Source organism: Homo sapiens, chromosome 12 (genome assembly GCF_000001405.40).
Source record: "Homo sapiens chromosome 12, GRCh38.p14 Primary Assembly".
In the NCBI taxonomy this organism is placed as follows: domain Eukaryota; kingdom Metazoa; phylum Chordata; class Mammalia; order Primates; family Hominidae; genus Homo; species Homo sapiens.
In genome coordinates, this window is record NC_000012.12 from 121,946,746 (window position 1) to 121,967,246 (window position 20,501).

A 20,501-nucleotide genomic window follows, 5' to 3' on the forward strand; every position below is an offset into this window, starting at 1 on the left:
AATTTTTTTTTTTTTTAGAGATGGGGTCTCGCTGTGTTGCCCAGGCTGGTCCCAAACTCCTGGGTTCAAGTGACCTTCCCACCTCAGTCTCCCAAGGTGCAGGGATTATAGGCATGAGCCACTGCTGCACCAGCCCCAGCAGCTTTTCAATGATGTGTCTATGTGGAAGTGGGTATGTTGTTGATTTTTGTAAAGCTTATCCTTTAGGATTTCTTGAACCTGAGATGTTATATCTCTTCTCAGTTTTGGAAAATTCTCAGCCATTACCTCTTTACACATTTCTTCTGCCACATTCTTTCTTTATTCTTCTTCTGGGGCTCCAATTACATATACGTTAGACCTTTTCTGGTCTTGTCCCACTGGTCTTTTATTTTCTTTTATGTATTTTCTATCCTTTCATCTGTTTCTGCTTCAGTCTGAATGTTTTCTACTATAATTTGTCTTCCTTTCCTGCTGACTAGTTCTTTCTTTGGCTATATCTAAATTTTTGTTAAACTGTCTATTAAGCATTTTAAATCATTTTTTCAGGTCTAGAATTTCCATTTGATTCTTTTTTAAGTAGAGCTATCTGCTGAGATTCCCCATCTTGTCCTCTACTTCCTGCATGTTAATCCTGTGATTGTCTAATAACCCCAATGCTCGGATCTCCTGTGGCTTCTTTCTGCTGATTGCTTTTTCCCCTTGGTTTTCAGTCATTTGGATGGGTCTTTTTTCTTTTCTTTTCTTTTCTTTTTTTTGAGATGGGGGTCTTGCTCTGTTGCCCAGGCTGGTCTTGAACTCCTGGCCTCAAGCGATCCTCCTGCAAAGTTCTGGGATTCCAGGCATACACCACAGCGCCTGGCCTGGATGTATCTCTTTAATATGCCTGGCTATTTTTTACTGAATGCCTGATGTTGTGTTTTTTAAAGTGTAGAAATAAATTTGAGGCTTGAGATGACTTCGTCCAAAGAAGACTGACTTCTGCTCCTTAAAGGCACTTAGCAGAGTGGTCAGCTTAATCTAATCAGAGCTTGAGGTCGTTTGAGGCTGATTTTCAGGCTTTGTGAAGTCTGCCTCATGCACTTGCTTTTGCCAGTTCCTTACCCTACCCAGGCTTTTGTGCTGTTCTGATATGAATTCTCAAACACTGGCATTAGTAGTTTACACCCCTGTGGTATGTAACATTCATAAAATGTTCAGAAAATGATAGGTAAGGAATAGGCGTGGAGACGGGGTGGAAATGGCAGAAATGGAACTTAAAAAGCTTTTTTCCAGCCTGTCCCTCAGTGCTGTCTCCTGCAGCCCTTCTCCCCAGGCTGTAGCCACCCACCTCCCATGCACATTTCAAACACATACCCCATGGCTCCCCAGGAAGAGCTTGCTTTGTTGTTCTTGCTGTGGCTGTTTGGTTTCTGTATTTAAAACTTTCCGTCACTTCCATAGTTTCTGCAGGGTTGGTTTTTGGGAAGGGAGCCAGCAGCCCATGCTATTCACCATCTTGGCAGGAATTAGAATCCCCTTCCAATATCTTGCATTCATTCCAAGATATTGTGTGGCCCTGTCAAATTTAGAAATGTATACGCAGCAGTCTTTATCTAAAAGGATACAGAATAAAGGTTATTGGTGAATACTGGTTTACTTTTGCTTGTTCCAATTTATTTTATTATTATTATTGTTATTATTTTAAATTGACCACTATCAGAAAAGCTTGTTATAGCCAGGCGCAGTGGCCCACACCTGTAATCCCAGCACTTTGGGAGGCTGAGGCAGGTGGATCGCTTGAGGTAGGGTTCAAAACCAGCCTGGCCAACATGGTGAAACCCCATCTCTACTAAAAATATAAAAATTAGCTGGGTGTGGGGGCACATGCTGGTAGTCCCAACTACTCAGGAGGCTGAGGCAGGAGAATTACTTGAACCCAGGAGATAGAGGCTGCAGTGAGCTGAGATGGCGCCACTGCACTCCAGCCTAGGCGACAGAGCAAGACTCTGGCTCAAAAAAAAAAAAAGAAAAGCTTATTCTAATTTATAGATGATGAATTATAATAGATCAAACTGGAAAGGGAACACATTTGACACTGTTTATTTTAATCACCAGTATTTAAATGATATTCCTATTTTTTTTTACGAAATGCGGTATCTTTTCTGTTTTATATTCCTACTCATTTGTTTTAATTAAAATTATTATTTAATTTTAACATTCAGCTTAACCAGAAACAGAAAATTTATCATTAATGTATTTTCATACTTTATATTTCAGAACTACGTTACTTTTAACCCAACAAATAATAAAGAATTGGTGAGCAATAGTAAAACACGGGCAATATATTATGCATGGGTAAGCAGAAATATTTTGATTTGTTTTAAATGTGGGTAGAAGTATGTGTTCATTCTTTGAGTACAAATGTTTCAGTAATGTAACAATATAGTATCTCTACTTAGGAAGCAATGAATATATATTAAAATGTTTTTATTTAACTGTAGTATTTAGTCCTATTAGAAATTAGCATATTAAATCAAAAGCAAATAATCCAATTTTATTTATTAAATTTTATTGAAGTAATGAGGCAAATGTTTATTTGAATTTATTTAACAAGACTAAAATACAAGTTTTATGGTTTTTTTGGAGATGAGGTCTCACTATGTTGCCCAGGCTGGCCTCAAATTCCTGGGCTCAAGTGATCTTCCCGCTTAATCCTCTCAAGTAGCTGGGATTAGAGGGGTGAGCCGGCCACACCTGGCTCTAAAATACAGCAGGTTTTTTTTTTTTTTTTTTTTGAGACCTTGGTCTTTTTTCCCTTTTAGAAAGGAATTAGCAAACAGATTAGTGATACATATACTGACACAGGGCAAAATCATGAGAATAAAAAACATTGAGGCTGAGCACAGTGGCTCATGACTGTACTTCCAGCACCATGGGAGGCCAAGGCAGGAGGATCACTTGAGGCCAGGAGTTTAAGACTAGCCTGAGCAACATAACAAGACCTCATCTCTACAAAAAATTATTTAAAAAAATTTAACAGTGCATGGTGATGCATGCCTGTAGTCCCAGCTGCTCAGAAGGCTGAGGCTGGAGGATTGCTTGAGCCCAGGAGTTTGAGACTGCAATGAGCTGTGATGGTGATGGTGCCACTGCACTATAGCCTGGGCAACAGAGTGAGACTCTGTCTCAACAAAACAAAACACAACAAAACAAAAAACGTTTCAAGTTAAACATGGAATAGCTATGTGACTCAGCAATTCCAAGGTAAGATGTAAAAGAATTGAAAAGAAGCATTCAAACAAATACTTCTACACAAATGTTCACAGCAGCAGCAGCAGCACTATTTGTAATAACCAAAAGGTAGAAACAAGCCAAGTGTTCATCAACTGATGAGTAGGTAAACAAAATGTGGTCTATCCATACAATGGAATGTTATTGTATGAAGTGCTGATACATGCTGTGACATGGATCAGCCTTGAAAGTATGATGCTAAATGAAAGACACCAGACACGAAAGTCACGTGTTGTATGATGCCATTTCTATGGAATGTCCAGCATAGGCAAGTCCACAGATACAGAGTAAACTGGTGGTTTTCAAGGCCTGGAGAGAGACGGAGTGGCTGCTTAATAGGTAGGAGATTTCCTTTTGGGGTTATGAAAATGTCTTGGATCTAGATGGTTGCTCAGCATTGTGAATGTATGAAACACCGCTGAATTGCACACTTTAACATGGTTATGATTAATTTTATGTTAAGTGGATTTTACCTCAATAAAAAATTGTAGAACAAAACCAAAACACATTGAGTCACTGATTGTGAGTGATAGTCATTATTTAAGATATTTATTATAGCTTTATTTTATTTTATTTTTGAGATGGGGTCTCACTCTGTCATCCAGGCTGCAGTGCAGTGGTGCGATCTCAGCTCACTGCAACCTCTGCCTCTCAGGTTCAAGCAATTCTCCTGCCTCAGCTTCCTGGGTAGCTGGGATTACAGGAACCTGCCACCACACCTGGCTAATTTTTGTATTTTTAGTAGAGACGGGGTTTCTCCATGTTGGCCAGGCTTGTCTCAAACTCCTAACCTCAAGTGATCTGCCCGCCTCAGCCTCCCAAAGTGCTGAGATTATAGGCGTGAGCCACCGTGCCCAGCCGATTGTGACTTTACATAGTACTTAATGCAAATTCGAATTCTCTATTAATAAGCCTTTAAAACTTTAATAAATACCTTAAGGTCGGCCGCAGTGGCTCACGCCTGTAATCCCAACACTTTGGGAGGCTGAGGTGGGCGGATCACCTGAGGTCAGGAGTTCGAGACCAGCCTGGCCAACATGGCAAAACCCCATCTCTACTAAAAAAAAAAAAAAATTAGCTGGGCATGGTAGTGCGCTCCTGTAATCCCAGCTACTCAGGAGGCTGAGGCAGGAGAATTGCTTGAACCCAGGAGGCGGAGTTTGCCGTGAGCTGAGATCGCGCCACTGCACTCCAGGCTGGGCGATAGATGTGTTTCTGCTTGAAGACACCTTATTTAATATAGAACTCCATCTCAAGAAAAAAAAAGTCATAATCATTTGTGGCATTTTTTATATTTTTTATGTATTTGCTTTTCTTTCAGAATGTTTTTAGATATTTCCCAAGACAGCAAGTTCTCTTACCTGTAGAAACTGCAAATTTCTGACCTTGTTTAGATGTATTTGTTTTGCTTTTATTATTAATGCCGTTCTTCCTTTGGAAACTGGGTCTTTTTGAGTAGTGATTATTTTTTCCTCTTATCAGTATGAAGAGAGGGATACACTGGCTCACAGTGCCCCACTTTTAACTGAAAAAGTGAGTATGCCTATTGCATTTTTGTCCATCAGATTTTGTGGAGAATAAATATTTATGTGCAAGCTTAGCTGCTTCGGGCTACTCTTTGTACATCTTGATATTAAGCTACTGGGAAATAATTTGAAAAATTTTACTTGGGTCCTGTATACATATTGAATTGTCAGTTGAAAATCATGTAAGTATTGTTAAAAATAATTTTTTTTTTTGAGACGGAGTCTTGCTCTGTCGCCCAGGCTGGCGTGCAGTGGCGTGATCTTGGCTCACTGCAAGCTCTGCCTCCCGGGTTCACGCCATTCTTCTGCCTCAGCCTCCCGAGTAGCTGGGACTACAGGCGCCTGCCACCACGCCCGGCTAATTTTTTGTATTTTTTTTTAGTAGAGACGGGGTTTCACTGTGTTAGCCAGGATGGTCTTGATCTCCTGACCTTATGATCCACCTACCTCAGCCTCCCAAAGTGCTGGGATTACAGGCGTGAGCCACTGCACCTGGCCCTAATAAAATGTTATACAAAGAGTTATTGCTGTGAGAAAATATAAAAACGTGATGGCTTTTAGAATGTGTATGTGCATATTGACAAGGAATGAAAGTTGTGGGGGTGCAGTGGCTCTCATCTGTAATCCCAACACTTTGGGAGACTGAGGTGAGAGGATCACTTGAGCTCAGGAGTTTGAGACCAGCCTGGGCAACACAGGCTAGACTTCGTTTCTACTAAAAAAAAAAAAAAAAAAAAAAAAAAAAAAATTGCCAGCCAGGGTGGTATGAGTCTGTGGTCCCAGCTACTCGGGAGGCTGAGGTGGGAGGATCACTTGAGCCCAGGTGGTCAAGGCTACAGTGAGCTGTGTTTGTGCCACTGCATTCCAGCCTGGGCAACAGAACAAGACCCTGTATATAAAAAAAAAAAAAATGAATGAAACAGTGTAAGTAAAGTCGTTGAACATGAGTGGATCCCTTATAAAGCTGCTCAGTTTCAGAATAATACATGATATTAGGTATTTAGATGTTTGAGAGCCAATAAGAGGGAGGTGAACCAGATGTTGAGAAAACATTTTATCTTGCCTGCTTGCCGCAAGCTCTTGTGTCTGAGGTGGAACTTGAGTCGTCTCCTGTAGCATTTTCTGCATTTGCTGCCCATGTAACCTGCTCTCAGGGAGCACCTGATGATGAGTTTTCTGCATACTTGCTTCTCTCTCGGTATGATTTGTAGAAATTTATTTAAGAGGGCATGCCAAAAGACAAAAACAAAAAATAAAAAGTTGAGATGGATGGGCACAATGAGATTATTCTGTCTGCAGACTTGTTTTTCATAAATGAAAGTACTAAAAAATACCATCAGTTCTCATTATTGTTGGTAGTTATGTTATATAAAGTCTCTGTAAACACCAAATTAGCAGATACTTAACTATTGCTCTTAAGGGAAATATAGGGGTAGGTTTCTGTGAGCCTCTGGTCACATTTTCACCAATTGATCAATACATAAGCTTGTTTTATGTGTATTTCTATTTAAAGACACTTTATTTAATATATAACATTGATTCATTAACATTGAACTCATGGCCAACAGCACTATAACTCATGACTTGAACAAAACTCATCTAACCTACATATTTTCTCCATAAAGCACATCACAGCATTCTTTTGCTTAGGAACACTAGCCAGCACTTCAGCACTATGTTTCAGGGTCAATTTAAATACTAAAATCACCAAGAAAAATGCAAACAACCAAAAATGCAAACAACATGGCACTAAATAGACCATGAAAAGGACACTTGTTTATAGTCAGAGCTGAGACAAGAAGGCGGAGCATTGCCCTGCCTGCCCTCAACTGGAAATGTGCATGTTGAGTGAGTAAAATTATTTGTCACACTGCACATGCACTTCTGCAAATGACCGTGAGAGTGCTGCAAGTATTGATTTTGGGATTACAAATCAATTCTTAAAGTAGGTAAATTCGCAAATACAGAATCCACAAATAATGAGCCATTTGAAATGATAAAAATGTATTGAAACAGTGCTGCTCTTAGAAAGAACTTGGTGCTCTTGTTTGACTAATCATTATTTTACTATTCCTCTTGTGTTCAAGTCAGAAGAGGTAAACCTTAGGATCTTCTCTGTATTATTAGAGAATCGGGCAGCATAGAGAATAGGGCATTTCTATGTACAGTGCTTAAATATTTTCTACTGATGGGAAAATACCTTATGATAAAAGGAGGCTGGGATAATTATTTTATGCTATTTTATAACCAGAGCATGCTTTGACTCACAACAGGCATTAGTTTCTTCACCAGTCTCTGAAACCTCCATAAGAGAAGTTTAACAGGTATAAACAGTGATTAACCACTCTCTCGTTTGCTTTAAACAAACAATGTAATTGAACAGAGTACATAACCCTTCACTTGCTCTTAGCAAACTTCCAGAGGTTCAGAACTGCCTGGACCATGGCAATTCATGGGAGACGGTTTTAGTGATTGTTTTCTTTTTCTTTCTCTTTTTCTCACTATATTTCAGCATAGCATTATAAAATATCGTATTGATAAATGCTTTGTTTTATATTTATTACCAACAGTAACTATAACCTTTCTTTTGAAACAGACCTTCAACAAGCTTGTGGGAAAGTTTAGCCAGTCCATCTTTCACTTGAATTTAACACAAATACTCTCAGCCACAATGGAAGGGAAGCTGGTTGTCTGGGACATACACCGCCCACCCTCATCTGCCTCCACCTTTTTGGGCTTTCCCTATATCAAGCCTTGTAAATTGGTTCATTTGCAGAAAGAGGGTATCACGGTACTTACCACAATTGATAGGTAATTTTAACTTAATTAAAAGATAACTATGGATAATTATAAAAATATTTTAAAATTGTTATGGGAGGTTGGGCACAGTGGCTTACACCTCTAATTTCAGTTCTTTGGGAGGCTGAGGTGGGAGGATCACATGAGGCCAGAAGTTCAAGACCAGCCTGGGCAACATAGTGAGACCCTATCTCTACCAAAAAACAAAGAGAGAGAGATGGGAGGATTGCTTGAGCCCAGGAGTTCGAGGCTGCAATGAGCTATCATTGCCACTGTGCTCCAGACTGGGTGTTAGAGTGAGACCCTCCTGTCTTAAAAAAAAAAAAAAAAAAAAAAAAAAAAAAAACCTCTTTTGGATGTATATGCATATTTTGTATAGCATAAAGTATTCTGGGGAGAATCATAATGAACTGGGAACATTGGTTGCCTCTGAGGAAAAGAACTGAGAACTAAGATCAGGGATGGGGGTGGATTTACTTCTTTTTATAGTTCCATTTATACTAATTGGATTTTTAAAAAAATCATGAGTATGCATTATGTTTAAAAAATCCCTTTGTGTCGATGAAACAAAAAGGAACTAGATTTTTTCTTCTGTGCTAATTGGATGGATTTTGCACCCAACATTTTACATGCATTAAATGTAAGAAAATAATTTGAATAGCTGTATTATTTTTGTCTGATTACAAGATAACATTTACAGCTGGGAGCGGTGGCTCACGCCTGTAATCCCAGCATTTTGGGAGGCCGAGGCGGGTGGCCTCAGGAGTTTGAGACCAGCCTGGCCAACATGGTGAAACCCTGTCTCTACTAAAAATACAAAAATTAGGCAGGTGTGGTGGTGTGCGGCTGTAATCCCAGCATCTTGGGAAGCTGAGGCATGAGAATCACTTGAACCCAGGAGGCAGAGGTTGCAGTGAGCCAAGATCTCACCACTGCACTCCAGTCTGGGCGACAGAGTGAGACTCGGTCTCAAAACAAAACAAAAATAATATTTACCCATTGTGAGAAGATCAAATGCATCAAAACTCTGTCTTAATTAAGACAGAGTTCTCATTTCAGCTGGGTCCCTTCCTTGCTGAGTGACCTTGAGCAAGGAACTTAACCTTGTTGAGCCTCTATTTCTTCATCTGTAAAATGGGCATAACAGTACTATTTCTCTCAGAGTGGTTTTATGAGGATTTCACGAGATATGGATGCACATGCTTGGTGCAGGGGAACCCTAGGTAAATGGTGGCCATCGTCAGTGTGTGAGAGAAGTTCCCGAAGGTGTGGAGAAAATTGCCTAGTGATGGGGACGCTACCCATATGGTTAGAGTCACTGGGCCATCTGCTTTCAAAATGCCCATTTGCTTCCATTCGCCTTTCTTTCGATGCAGGGGAACAATGAGGTCTTGACATGGTTTTACAAAGAGAAATGCAAATTGTCACCCTCACTCAGTGGAGCGAGAAGATAGGAGAACTGCAGTTGGCCATGCAATCAACCTTTAATCGGTTGGGGTTTAGGATCCAGTGGAGACCAGGCCTGGGTTCTCCAAGTTAATAAAACCCAGTCAGGACCTGGGAGTCCAAGAAGGAAAAGGTCTCTGGAAATACTTGGTCAGTATTGCTGCTTCTGTCCAGCAGAGGGCAGGGACAGATGTTCAAGCCAATTAGCCCACCTGCCTTGCTTATTAATCAGAAACCTCATTTAACCACTCTGCATATGTAAGAGAAAAATCCTCCTCATCTGCCCCCCGTGATTAGAATTATGTCAAAGTCTTTTTTAAAAAGCCCATTTGGGATGGATCCAAGGACTGGAAATGAAAGCCATTTTGTCACGTGGCACTGCCTTCTGCCGTGATGACTGGACAGGGTTTTATGATCACACTAACAGTAGTGCCTTCCTGTAAAGTGGCTAGTGTCCCATTGCCAGCCTGCATGATTTCAGAGGGCTGGTGAAGCGATTCTCTCCATTGTCATCTGTAGTTATATGGGGAGTGTAAATCCTTGTCCACCTCCATTGCGTATGGCTGATCTTGGAGGGCAGGGAAGAACTAGCAGAGAGCATGGACTTTGCTTTAGATATACCTGGGTTCCTTGCATAGTCAAGCCACATGGCCCTGATAAAATTGCCAGGTATAAGTATGTCCCATGCAATATATGGGATGTACTTACACTAAATTTTTTGTTTGTTTGTCTGTTTTGTTTTTTGAGACGGAGTTTTGTGCTTGTCACCCAGGCTGGAGTGCAATGATGCAATCTCGGCTCACTGCAAGCTCCGCCTTCCATGTTCAAGCGATTCTCCTGCCTCAGCCTCCCGAGTAGCTGGGATTACAGGTGCACACCACCACACCTGACTAATTTTTGTATTTTTAGTAGAGGCGGGGTTTCACCATGTTGGCCAGACTGGTCTCGAACTCCTGACCTCAGGTGATCCACCCGACTTGGCCTCCCAAAGTGCTGGGACTACAGACATGAGCCACCACACCCAGCTACACTAAATTTTTTTAATGCAAATTTTCAAAGTAACTGGGTATCTGTATTGTTACCTGCTAAATCTGGCAACACAATGCCCTGAGCAAATTTCTTAACTCTCTGAAAGTTAGTTTCCTAGATGTAAATTGGGATAACAGTAAAATCATTCTCGTTGGGAGTATTAAATTAAGTTTTTGCAATGCCCCAGAATCCAGAGCCTGACATATAATTAGGTATTATATAGATGCTACTTGTTATTATTGCTATTTGCAAAACTGATGTTATTCTCCATTTCAGCTACATTGTCACAGGTGACATTAAGGGGAACATTAAGTTCTATGATCACACCCTGTCTATTGTTAACTGGTACAGTCACTTGAAACTGGGCGCCATAAGAACTCTGTCCTTTTCAAAGACCCCAGCAACTCCTCCTACTGAAAAATCAAACTATCCTCCTGACTGCACTTTAAAAGGTGACCTTTTTGTCTTAAGGTAAGTTGTTAATGAATCTAGTCATTAGAATGGTTGAAAAATGATCACTGTCTTCTTTAGTTTGCATACAGTGGGAGGTTCGTGTTGTTCCTGGGATATCTCCCTGGCTGATTGTGATAACCACTGGATCATTTAAAAAATTAATGAAACATAAGGCCGGGCGTGGTGGCTCACGCCTGTAATCCCAGCACTTTGGGAGGCCAAGGCGGGTGGATCACGAGGTCAGGAGATCGAGACCATCCTGGCTAACATGGTGAAACCCCGTCTCTATTAAAAATACAAAAAATTAGCCGGGCGTGGTGACGGGTGCCTGTAGTCCCAGCTACTCGGGAGGCTGAGGCAGGAGAATGGTGTGAACCCGGGAGACGGAGCTTGCAGTGAGCTGAGATAGCGCCACTCTACTCCAGCCTGGGCGACAGAGCGAGACTCTGTCTCAAAAAAAAAAAAAAAAAAAATTAATGAAACATGACTTTAATATTAAGACTCTTTAGTAACTGGAAGCTGTAAAGTCCTGATCCCTGATCTCTCACCTCTGTTGAGTCTGGAGTCTTTTGCTGCAGGTTGGTCTCTTTTCTCTAAGCTGAGCTTGTCCTAGCCACTGCAGTTAAAGGCACTGGATAATTAATAGCCATAACATTTCAAGACCGAATTATCTGTGAGTCTGCTTAATTACCCTTGCAGTAGTTACAGGCACATCTGTATGTGTGCACCAAACTCCATATTTGCATACACAAATGAATATTTGCATGTGCAGATTAGCTAATTGTACAACTGACTGTCCATCTGCATACTTAATGACTCAATTTACATGGAGAAAAGTGGGCTTTTTCACTTGCAAATGGAGGCTGTTGGGTATTGGTGGTATATTTTTGGAAATGTTGGGTTAATAATGTCACTAAATTACAGACGACAGAGGCGTTTTATGTGCAATTAGAAGCAGAATAGCTGGCATGCCCCATTCCCTGCAAACACTGATATTGTTTGGTCTCTCCTTGGCAAACAGGAATTTTATCATTGGAACATCTGATGCCGCGGTGTACCACTTAACAACAGATGGGACCAAACTTGAGAAGTTATTTGTAGAGCCCAAGGATGCCATTTGTGCCATCTCCTGCCACCCATATCAACCCCTCATTGCCATCGGGAGCATCTGTGGGATGATCAAAGTGTGGAATTATGAAAACAAACAATATCTTTTCAGCAGGGTTTTTGAGAAGGGGCTTGGAGTCCAGAGTCTGACCTACAACCCCGAAGGTATTTTCATCTTATCAGCCTACCATCGGTTCCACATGGACAGCCCTGAAAGGGATGGATGCACCTGGGCTGGCATAGCTCCAGGAAGTCTCCCCGACTCCAGCCCCCAGCAGGCTGGATGAGGCGCCTTCTCTCTGGGGCTCCCGTGGTGTTCTGGGCCTATCTGTGCGTCTCTGCGCGCTCACCCCAGCAGGCTGGATGAGGCGCCTTCTCTCTGGGGCTCCCGCGGTGTCCTGGGCCTATCTGTGCGTCTCTGCGCGCTCACCCCAGGAGATCACGCGTTTCGGTTCATTTCTCCGCACGGGAGCTTTGTTGTGTTAGTTGCTGTCTTCTCCGCACCCAGAACAAAGCCTGGCACAGACTCAACATCTCTTGAATGAATGTAATCCTTTTCCATCGTTCTCTGGCTTGTCATTTCAGGAGCCCTTCTTGGAGCTGGCTTTACAGAGGGGACAGTTTACATTCTTGATGCAATGTCTTTAGAAAATGAAAGCCCAGAGCCTTTCAAATATTCCAGAACCAGTGTGACTCATATAAGCTTTTCCCATGACTCCCAGTATATGGCAACTGCTGTAAGTATTTTCATGGACAACCCATCCAGTGGCTTAGCAATTTTATTTGAAACCAAAAGAGGCCAGACATAGTAGCTAACACCTGTAATCCCAATGATTTGGGAGGCCGAGGTGGGAGGATCATTGGAGGACAGGAATTCAAGACCAGCCTAGGAAACACAGCAGGACCCCACTGCTACAAAAACACTTTTTAAAAATTAGCCAGGCCTTGTGGCACACATCTGTAGCCCCAGTTATCCAGGAGGCTGAGGCGGGAGGACCCCTGCGGGCCAGGAGTTTGAGGTTACAGTGAGCTATAAGGCAGGTATGTTGGTCTGCCTTTATGTTGGGAGGGAAAAGCAGTGGTCTTCGCTAAACTCCTGTCCCTTCCGGCGCTCTCCATCCCCACACTGGTGCGGCCACTCCTCCGGTTTGTGTACACAACGCTTCTGAAGCCAAAGCTGTCTCAGCATACTGTGGGTGCACACAGTCCAGCTTCTGTGTCCCCTCAGGCCAGGCTCTCCCACTCCAACTGGGTTCACTTGCAGCCTTCATACCTTTCAAAAACACATAGCTTTTTTATTATATGTAGCTGGACAAAGAAAAGGGAGGACGAAGGCACAAAGAGTCAGGCTTTTGGCTTTCCACAGACAGCGAGGGGGCACCTGGAAAGGAGTGTAAAACCATAGTTTCACGTTCATACTTTCTTCCCCGCTACCTTTTCAGTTTTCTGCTTTTAACTTTAATTTTCTTATCTGTAAAATGGGCATTAGGCCAGGTGTAGCTTATACCTGTAATCCCAGCACTTTGGGAGGTCGAGGCAGTCAGATTGCTTGAGGCAGGAGTTCGAGACCAGCCTGGGCAACATGGTGAGACACCCCCCATCTCTACAAAAACTAATGAAAAAAAACTAGCCAGGTATGGTGGCATGTGCCTGTAGTCCTAGCTACTTAGGAGGCTGAGGCTGGAGGATCTTTTGAGCCCAGGAGACTGAGACTGCAGTGAGCCGTGATCAGGCCACTGCACTCTAGCCTGGGCAACAGATCAAGACTCTTGTCTCAAAAAAAACCCAAAAAAACTAAACTAAAACTAAAATGGATATTGTTTTACTACTTGCTTGAATAGACTAAGATTATTTTTGAAAAAAATATTCTTAGTATTTTTTTTTTTGATAGGGTCCTGCTCTGTTGTACAGGCTGAAGTGCAACAGATCTTGGCTCGCTGCAACCTCCTCCTCCCAGGTTCAAGCAATTCTTGTGTCAGCCTCCCAAGTAGCTGGAATTATAGGCATGTGCCACCACGCCCAGCTAATTTTTGTATTTTTAGTAGAGATGGGGTTTTGCCATATTGGCCAGGCTGGTCTCAAACTCCCGACCTCAGGTGATCCACCCGCCTCGGCCTCCCAAAGTGCTGGGATTACAGGCGTGAGCCACCGCGCCTGGCCCATAATGATGATTCTTAATTTACTAAACGTAAAATGGGATAACTCCTTCTCTTTTGCTCATCTTCAGGATAGAAGTTTTACTGTGGCTGTTTACATGCTGGTGGTCAGAAATGGACAGAGGGTCTGGGAGTACTTAGCAAGACTTCGCTCTCATCGCAAAAGCATTCGAAGTCTCCTGTTTGGGGTTTACCTGGACAGCAATGAGCCTAGACTGCTGAGCCTTGGGACAGACAGGCTCTTGGTGAGCTGTTTAGTTTTCGTTGACCTGGTCGCCAAGACTGTGTCTCACTCTTGTGACATCCCTGGCATCTTGCATAGAGCCAGGCCCACAGTACGTGTGTTTGTTGGAGAAAATGAATGCACAGTGAAGGATCACAAACCTCTCCAGGTTGGCATTTTGCCTTAACATGGCTGGGACACCACCTGGGGACTCCTGTGCTGAACGAGGAGGCTTCCCGGGCAGCAACAAGTTAGAAGGCAAGGAGCGGGGAGTTCCCCATAGCTTGGAAAGCAGCCGCCCTTGCCTCCCAGTGTGCACGGGGAGGGCTGACACTCACTAACACTGTCTTCATGTCCATCAGTTGGGGCCAGGCTGCTACCTAAATGTGAAAACTAGGAGAGGTTGTGAGATAAGAGGAAAAGGTAGGGATGGGCAAACGCAATATTACAGAGTCAGGTGAAATGGATTCAACCAGTCATTGTATCTGTCTGTTTTTCCTTCCTCCCTCCCTCCCTCCTTTCTTCTCCCCCTCTCTCCCTCCCTCCCTTCCTTCCTTCCCTTTCTTCTTCCCTCCCTCCCCCGCCCCTCCCTTCTTTCTCTCCCCTTCCTTCCTTTATTCAGTTTCTCCATCCATTCATCCATCTGTCCATCCATCCATCCATCCGTCCATCCACCCATCCATCCATCCATTCTGCCCTGCCCACGGAAGCATACCTGTATGGGCCCAGTTCAGTGGCTACTGATTTGTGACTGCCAAGTGTTGGGCTGAGATTTAGATATGAATTAGTTCCTAAGATAATAAGTGACACAGTATAACAGAACTGTAAGACGTCAGGTGTGGGAATCAGCTGGATCTAAATTTGAATTTTTGAATTTTTACTCTGCCACTTTTTAGCTATGTGACCTTGGACAAGCCACTCTGAACATCCTTGAACATCTGTTTTCTCATCTGTAAAATGGGCAGAACAGTACCCCTTTGCAGGGAAGTTCTGAGGATGACATGACAGCTGTTTTTAGAGCACTCAGCTCATTGTCTTCCAGGTAGTGAATTCTCAGTACTGATGACTTAGTCAGTGTCAGGTCTAGGCAAGTCTTCTCTTAGGAGACCTGATACCGTCTCCCCCAGAACAGCACTGTTGGCTGATAATTATAAAGGCTGTCACCCAAGAGCTTGGGGTTCCTTAGCTGAGCCTTTAATTTGGCTTGGTCCTCATGTGTGTCCATCTGGGCTCCTCTGCAGATAGAGTATGATCTTCTCAGGAGCTACAAAGACCACCTGGAAGTCCTGGACATTCACCACACCGACCAGGGCTGCTATCCCACCTGCATGGTCTGGTACCCACCACTCACCAGGGAACTCTTCCTGCTTATTTGCAACAGTGGCTACAAAGTGAAGCTTTTTAATGCTACTACCAAAATGTGCAGGTAAGCACCCGGAGCTTCCCATTGCAGGGGGCGTGGATCAAGTTCTCTGCCCCCAACCTGTTTCAGGTCTCCACATAGGGACCTGCAGGCAGCTTGGCTACTATTATCATCCTCTTTGCTTTGCAGAGGAGGAGACTGAGGCACAGATAACGTAAGTAATTCTCACCAAGGTCATGTGGCCCTGTGTGGAGGTGAGATGTGCAGAATCCAGGAAGGACACAGACCCTGGGGCCCTGGGAAAGTTGCTAATGCTATCTCCTATTCTCCTCTCATTAAGAAAAACATAGTTTTACCTGGCTACTAACAATTGTTTGATTTTTTCTTACTCTTGGGTCTCAAAGGAGTTTTAACTTTAATTGCTAGCCCTCCTTTGTTTACACCCTGCGTGAGCCAGGTACCGTTTTAGGTGCTGAAGATGATGAAAACAGAACAGTTTCCATCACTGTGGAGTTTACATGTTGGCGGGGGCAGGTGATGCAATGGCGTGAACAAGTAGCAAGGTAGTAGGTATGTGGTAATCAGGTCTGTGCAAAGAAGAAAAAAAAAAAAAGGAAAAGGAAAAGGCAGGATAAAAAGGTGGGGAGGCAGGGAAGGCCTTGGAGAGCAGGGGACATCTGAGCATCCAGACAGAGACTTGAAGAAAGTGAGGGGGAAGCGAGGGGCTGCTGTGCGGTTGGAGGAAAGACAGTGGATCAGCAAGGGCCAATGAGTGAAGGTGGGAGGCGTCTGGGGTTTGGGAAATGCCGCGAAGGCTGGTGAGGCCAGAGTGGAATGGGCAAGGAGGGGGCATGGGAGAGCAGGTCAGAGGTACGGGCTGGTGCCAGGCACACGGCACCCTGGAGACTCTGGTTCCTTCCCGGGTAAGGCGAGAGCTAGTGGAGGGTTTTGAGCAGGGGAGTGACATGTTCTGATTGATGCTTTAGAATGATGTCTGGCTTCTGTACAGAGAGCAGACTCTGGGGCGCAAAGGTAGAAGCAAGATTCGGGAAACTGGTGTGAGAGCTGATGGCGGCTTGGCCCTGAGGGCAGAAAAGAGGGGTCAGATTCTGGATATATCCTGCCGGCAAAGCGAACAGCGTTTGCTAATGGAGGGAACAGGAGGTGTGAGAGAAGACACCTCTCGAAGTCAGAAGAATGGACTGGACCTTTAAAGAGATGAGGAGGACAAGGGAAAGATAGCTTTGAGATAAACCAGGGGTCAGACTGGACAAGGCAAGCTTGAGATGCCTGCTTGGCATTCAGGTGGGAACCCACGAATCAGACTCTGGATTGTGGAGGTCCCGGGAGAGGCTGGGCTGGAGTCAGGAACACAGGATGGTTGAAGGCACGAGACGGGGAGGACACCAGCCGGGGAGCAGGGCGTCCGCTGCTGGGGAGCAGGGAGTCCACAGCCAGGGAGCAGGGCATCTGCAGCCCAGCATCCTAGAGTGGCATCTCCTCCCTCCTGATGCCATCCTGCACATGCACGTGGGCCCCTGTGCTTTGGCCCCTGTGAGCCCTCACAAGAAACACTGACGATTGTGCCTCGAGTACAGCAGGGCCTGCACTGTCATCCCATTCCCTCATCCACAGCCCTGCTAACTATTCTCCCACCGAGCTTCAGGAGGCTGTGTGACTTGTCCAAGGTCAAACAGGGCAGGACTTGACCCTTGACCCTAGCCCTGACCCCATCCTCTACTCAGCGCTGTGGGGCCTCGACACAGCCCTGGCTTTGGGATCTTACCTGGTCAGCCCTGGAGGGGAGCTTCTGCCTTTGGTTTGGCTGTGTCTTGGGTATGGCTGGAAAGAAGGATGGAGGCAGGAGAAGTTCGAAGGGAGAATGTTTCAGTGATCCACCACGACCACCACCACTGCCACTGCCACCACCACCAGGAGAAGGAAGTCAGGGAACTGGCAGCAGCTGGCTCAGGCTTGAAGACTATCATGGTTTTGAAATGTATCTCAGATAAGACAGGTCCTCAAAAGGCCAGGACCACCCGGGATTTGTTGTTGTTGTTGTTGTTGTTGTTGTTGTTGTAAACAGTTCTTTCCCAGAAGGCACAAGAAAAAATGACTGAGAAATGCCATGTTTTATGGTAGAGAGAAAAATCCAGGACAGTTTCCTTAAACGATTAAAACACTGGAAAGCATGTGTAAAGAGGAGCTTTAGAAAGATTTCAGAATCATTGTGCATAGTTTTTAATGAAAACATACTTTTTGGACAAAGAATATCTCTCAGATATGCGCAGTCCTAAGACACTGAATTGGCAGAGCTGGAGAATGAGGGCTGGCAGACCTCGGGCCTGAAGTTCCTGCTAACAGTCATTCACTGGAGGAAAGAGGCAGGAGGGACTTTTAGACACAAAGTTGGGAGCTTCTGCCTGTTGATGATCAATCTGAAATTAGCATAAAGCATCTTAAAAATTTTTATCAAGGTGATACTCACGTAACATAAAATGAACCATTTGAAAGTGAACAGTTCAGCCGGGCGTGGTGGCTCACGCCCCAGCATTTGGGAGGGGCCGAGGCAGGTGGATCACCTGAGGTCAGGAGTTCGAGACCAGCCTGGCCAACATGGTGAAACCCTGTCTCTACTAAAAATACAAAAATTAGCCGGGCGTGGTGGCATGCACCTGTAATCCCAGCTACGTGGGAGACTGAAGCAGGAAATCTCATGAACCCGGGAGGTGGAAGTTGCAGTGAGGCGGGATTTTACTAGCCACTTTACTCCAGCCTGGGCGACAGAGCTAGACTCTGTCTTAAAAAAAATAAAATAAAATAAAATAAAGAAAGTGAACAGTTCCATGGCATTTAGTACTCATGGTGCTGTGCAACCCCCACTGTAGCTTCAGAGCATTTCCATCATTCCAGAATAAAAGCCCTTGCATAAAGCATCTTGTAAGCTGTAGGAATAAGAAAGCCTCATAACCATGGCTTAATTGGGAAGGAATTGTCTTTTTGTGATAAATCCAAAAGAATGTAAAAATGCATTTAAAAAAGATTTGAAAGAACATGAAAAGGCAGTTCACAGGAAAAGGCCAATAAACCTATGAGCAGATGCTCACTAGTATGTCAAAGATGCAAATGAAAACAAGATATCATTTTTTCACCAATCAGATTAGCAAAGATAAAAATGATTGATAGTGCTTAGCATTGGCAAGAGGCTAGGAAAACGGGCACTCTCATCCGCTTCTGGGGGCGGGTGTGAATCAGTGTAACCTTTTGGGAAAGCAATTTGTCACCCTCTATTAAATTTTATCATATCTTCTGACTTCTAGGAATGTAGCCCACAGAAGTACTCACACAGTATGCCAAGACATAAGTAAACGGATGTCTTGTTTGAAAATATTTTTAAAAATGGAAACAATCCAAATGCCCATTAATAGGGGATGAGTTAAACAATGGTTTGTCAGTACACTGGAACACGATGCTGCTTTTAGAAAAGAAAAAAAAAGGAAGAGTAAGACAGCTCTCTGTGTAATGACGTGGAAATATCTCAAAGATGTAAAATGAGATAAAGCAAATTACCAATGAAGCATGAATAGCATAATTCTATTTTTATATAAAATTATAATTACAAAAGAAATTCTTGAGTCATATACACCAAATTATTACTCATGATTATCTTGGGATAGGGTGCAGCAATGTGGAGATATAGATTTTCTCCTTCTTCTTCTTCTTTTTTTTTTTTTTTTTGAGGCAGGGTCTCACTCTGTTGCCCAGGCTGGAGTGCAGTGGCATGATCTCAGCTCACTGCAGCCTCGACCTCCCAGGCTCAAACAATGCTCCCACCTTAGCCTCAGGCCACCAAGCCAGGCTAATTTTTCATAGAGACAGGAAACTACTATGTTGCCCAGGCTGGACTCGAACTCCTAACCCCAAGCAATCCTCCCACCTTAGCCTCCCAAAGTGCTGGGATTATGGGAATGAGCCACTGCGTTCTGCCCATGACCAGAGTCTTAAAACCTATGTTGAGATTTATGGAATTTTAAAAACTCTTCCCTTCCCTCCCCTCCCCTCCCCTCCCCTTCCCTCCCCTCCCCTCCCCTCTCCTTCCCTCCCCTTCCCTCCCCTCCCCTTCCCTCCCCTCCCCTCCCCTTCCCTCCCCTCCCCCTCCCCCTCCCCTTCTTCTTCCTTTCGATGGAGTCTTGCTCTGTCACCCAGGATGGAGTGCAGTAGCGTGATTTCACCTCATTACAACCTCCACCTCCTAGGTTCAAGCGATTCTCATGCCTCAGCCTCCTGAGTAGCTGGGACTACAGGCGCGCACCACTATGCCTGGCTAATTTTTTTTTTTTTTTTTTTTTTTTAGTAGAGGTGGTGTTTCACCATGTTGGCCAGGCTGGTCTTGAAACTCCTGACCTCAGTTGATCCACCTGCCTCGGCCTCCCAAAGTACTGGGATTACAGGCGTGAGCCACCATGCCCCATCCATGACCAAAGAGTCTTTTTTTTTTTTTTTTGAGATGGAGTCTCACTTTGTCACCTAGGCTGGAGTACAGTGGCGTAATCTCAGCTCACTGCAGCCTCCACCTCCCAGTTTCAAGCGATTCTCCTGCCTCAGCCTCCTGAGTAGCTGGGATTGCAGGCACCTGCCACCACGCCTGGCTAATTTTTGTATTTTTAGTAGAGACGGGGTTTCACCATATTGGCCAGGCTGGTCTCAAACTCCTGACCTTGTGATCCGCCTGCCTTGGCCTCCCGAAGTGCTGGGATTACAGGTGTGAGCCACTGCGCCTGGCCCGACCAAAGAATCTTAAAACCTATGTTGAGATTTGTGGAATTTTAAAAACTCTTTCTCTTTTTGCCTTCAGAAAGACGCTTCTGGGGCCAGCTTATGGTTCCCCTATTGAGCAGACACAAGTCCTCCCAGTGAGAAGCATGGCGGAGCTACAGAAACGCTACTTGGTGTTTATTAACAGAGACAAGGTAACAGCGCTCTCTTCTCCAGTTCTGGGAGTTGACTCTGTGTGTCATGAGCAGCAGTCATTACTGAAGATCACGAGACTCAGAGAGTTCTGGGTTTACAGCCAAGCCCAACTGCTTCCACCCCAGTCAGCTGTGATACTGAAAATTGCCCTTGATGAGTTAGGAAGACTCTTGGGA

General features: G+C 44.2%; 1 protein-coding gene across 2 annotated transcripts in view, besides 2 other annotated features; it reads left to right on the forward strand.

Annotated features, from left to right (window-relative positions):
- The window catches only part of CFAP251 (cilia and flagella associated protein 251), an 85,328-nt gene that overhangs the window by 28,154 nt on the left and 36,673 nt on the right, over positions 1–20,501 (forward strand). For both annotated transcript variants that reach the window (NM_144668.6, NM_001178003.2), the window contains exons 8-16: positions 2,239–2,316; positions 4,735–4,785; positions 7,375–7,589; positions 10,329–10,523; positions 11,527–11,777; positions 12,198–12,349; positions 13,840–14,013; positions 15,233–15,417; positions 20,210–20,324. In NM_144668.6, the coding sequence (NP_653269.3) occupies positions 2,239–2,316; positions 4,735–4,785; positions 7,375–7,589; positions 10,329–10,523; positions 11,527–11,777; positions 12,198–12,349; positions 13,840–14,013; positions 15,233–15,417; positions 20,210–20,324 (1,416 nt within the window). The remainder of the gene's footprint in view (positions 1–2,238; positions 2,317–4,734; positions 4,786–7,374; positions 7,590–10,328; positions 10,524–11,526; positions 11,778–12,197; positions 12,350–13,839; positions 14,014–15,232; positions 15,418–20,209; positions 20,325–20,501) is intronic.
- Positions 11,459–11,978: an enhancer, noted in NCBI's record as "H3K4me1 hESC enhancer chr12:122396110-122396629 (GRCh37/hg19 assembly coordinates)". NCBI's record gives its function as "activates a minimal SCP1, AML or CMV promoter by ChIP-STARR-seq in naive H9 embryonic stem cells {active_cell/tissue: H9 hESC(naive)}" and the evidence as "EXISTENCE:reporter gene assay evidence [ECO:0000049][PMID:30033119]".
- Positions 11,979–12,497: an enhancer, noted in NCBI's record as "H3K4me1 hESC enhancer chr12:122396630-122397148 (GRCh37/hg19 assembly coordinates)". NCBI's record gives its function as "activates a minimal SCP1, AML or CMV promoter by ChIP-STARR-seq in naive and primed H9 embryonic stem cells {active_cell/tissue: H9 hESC(naive and primed)}" and the evidence as "EXISTENCE:reporter gene assay evidence [ECO:0000049][PMID:30033119]".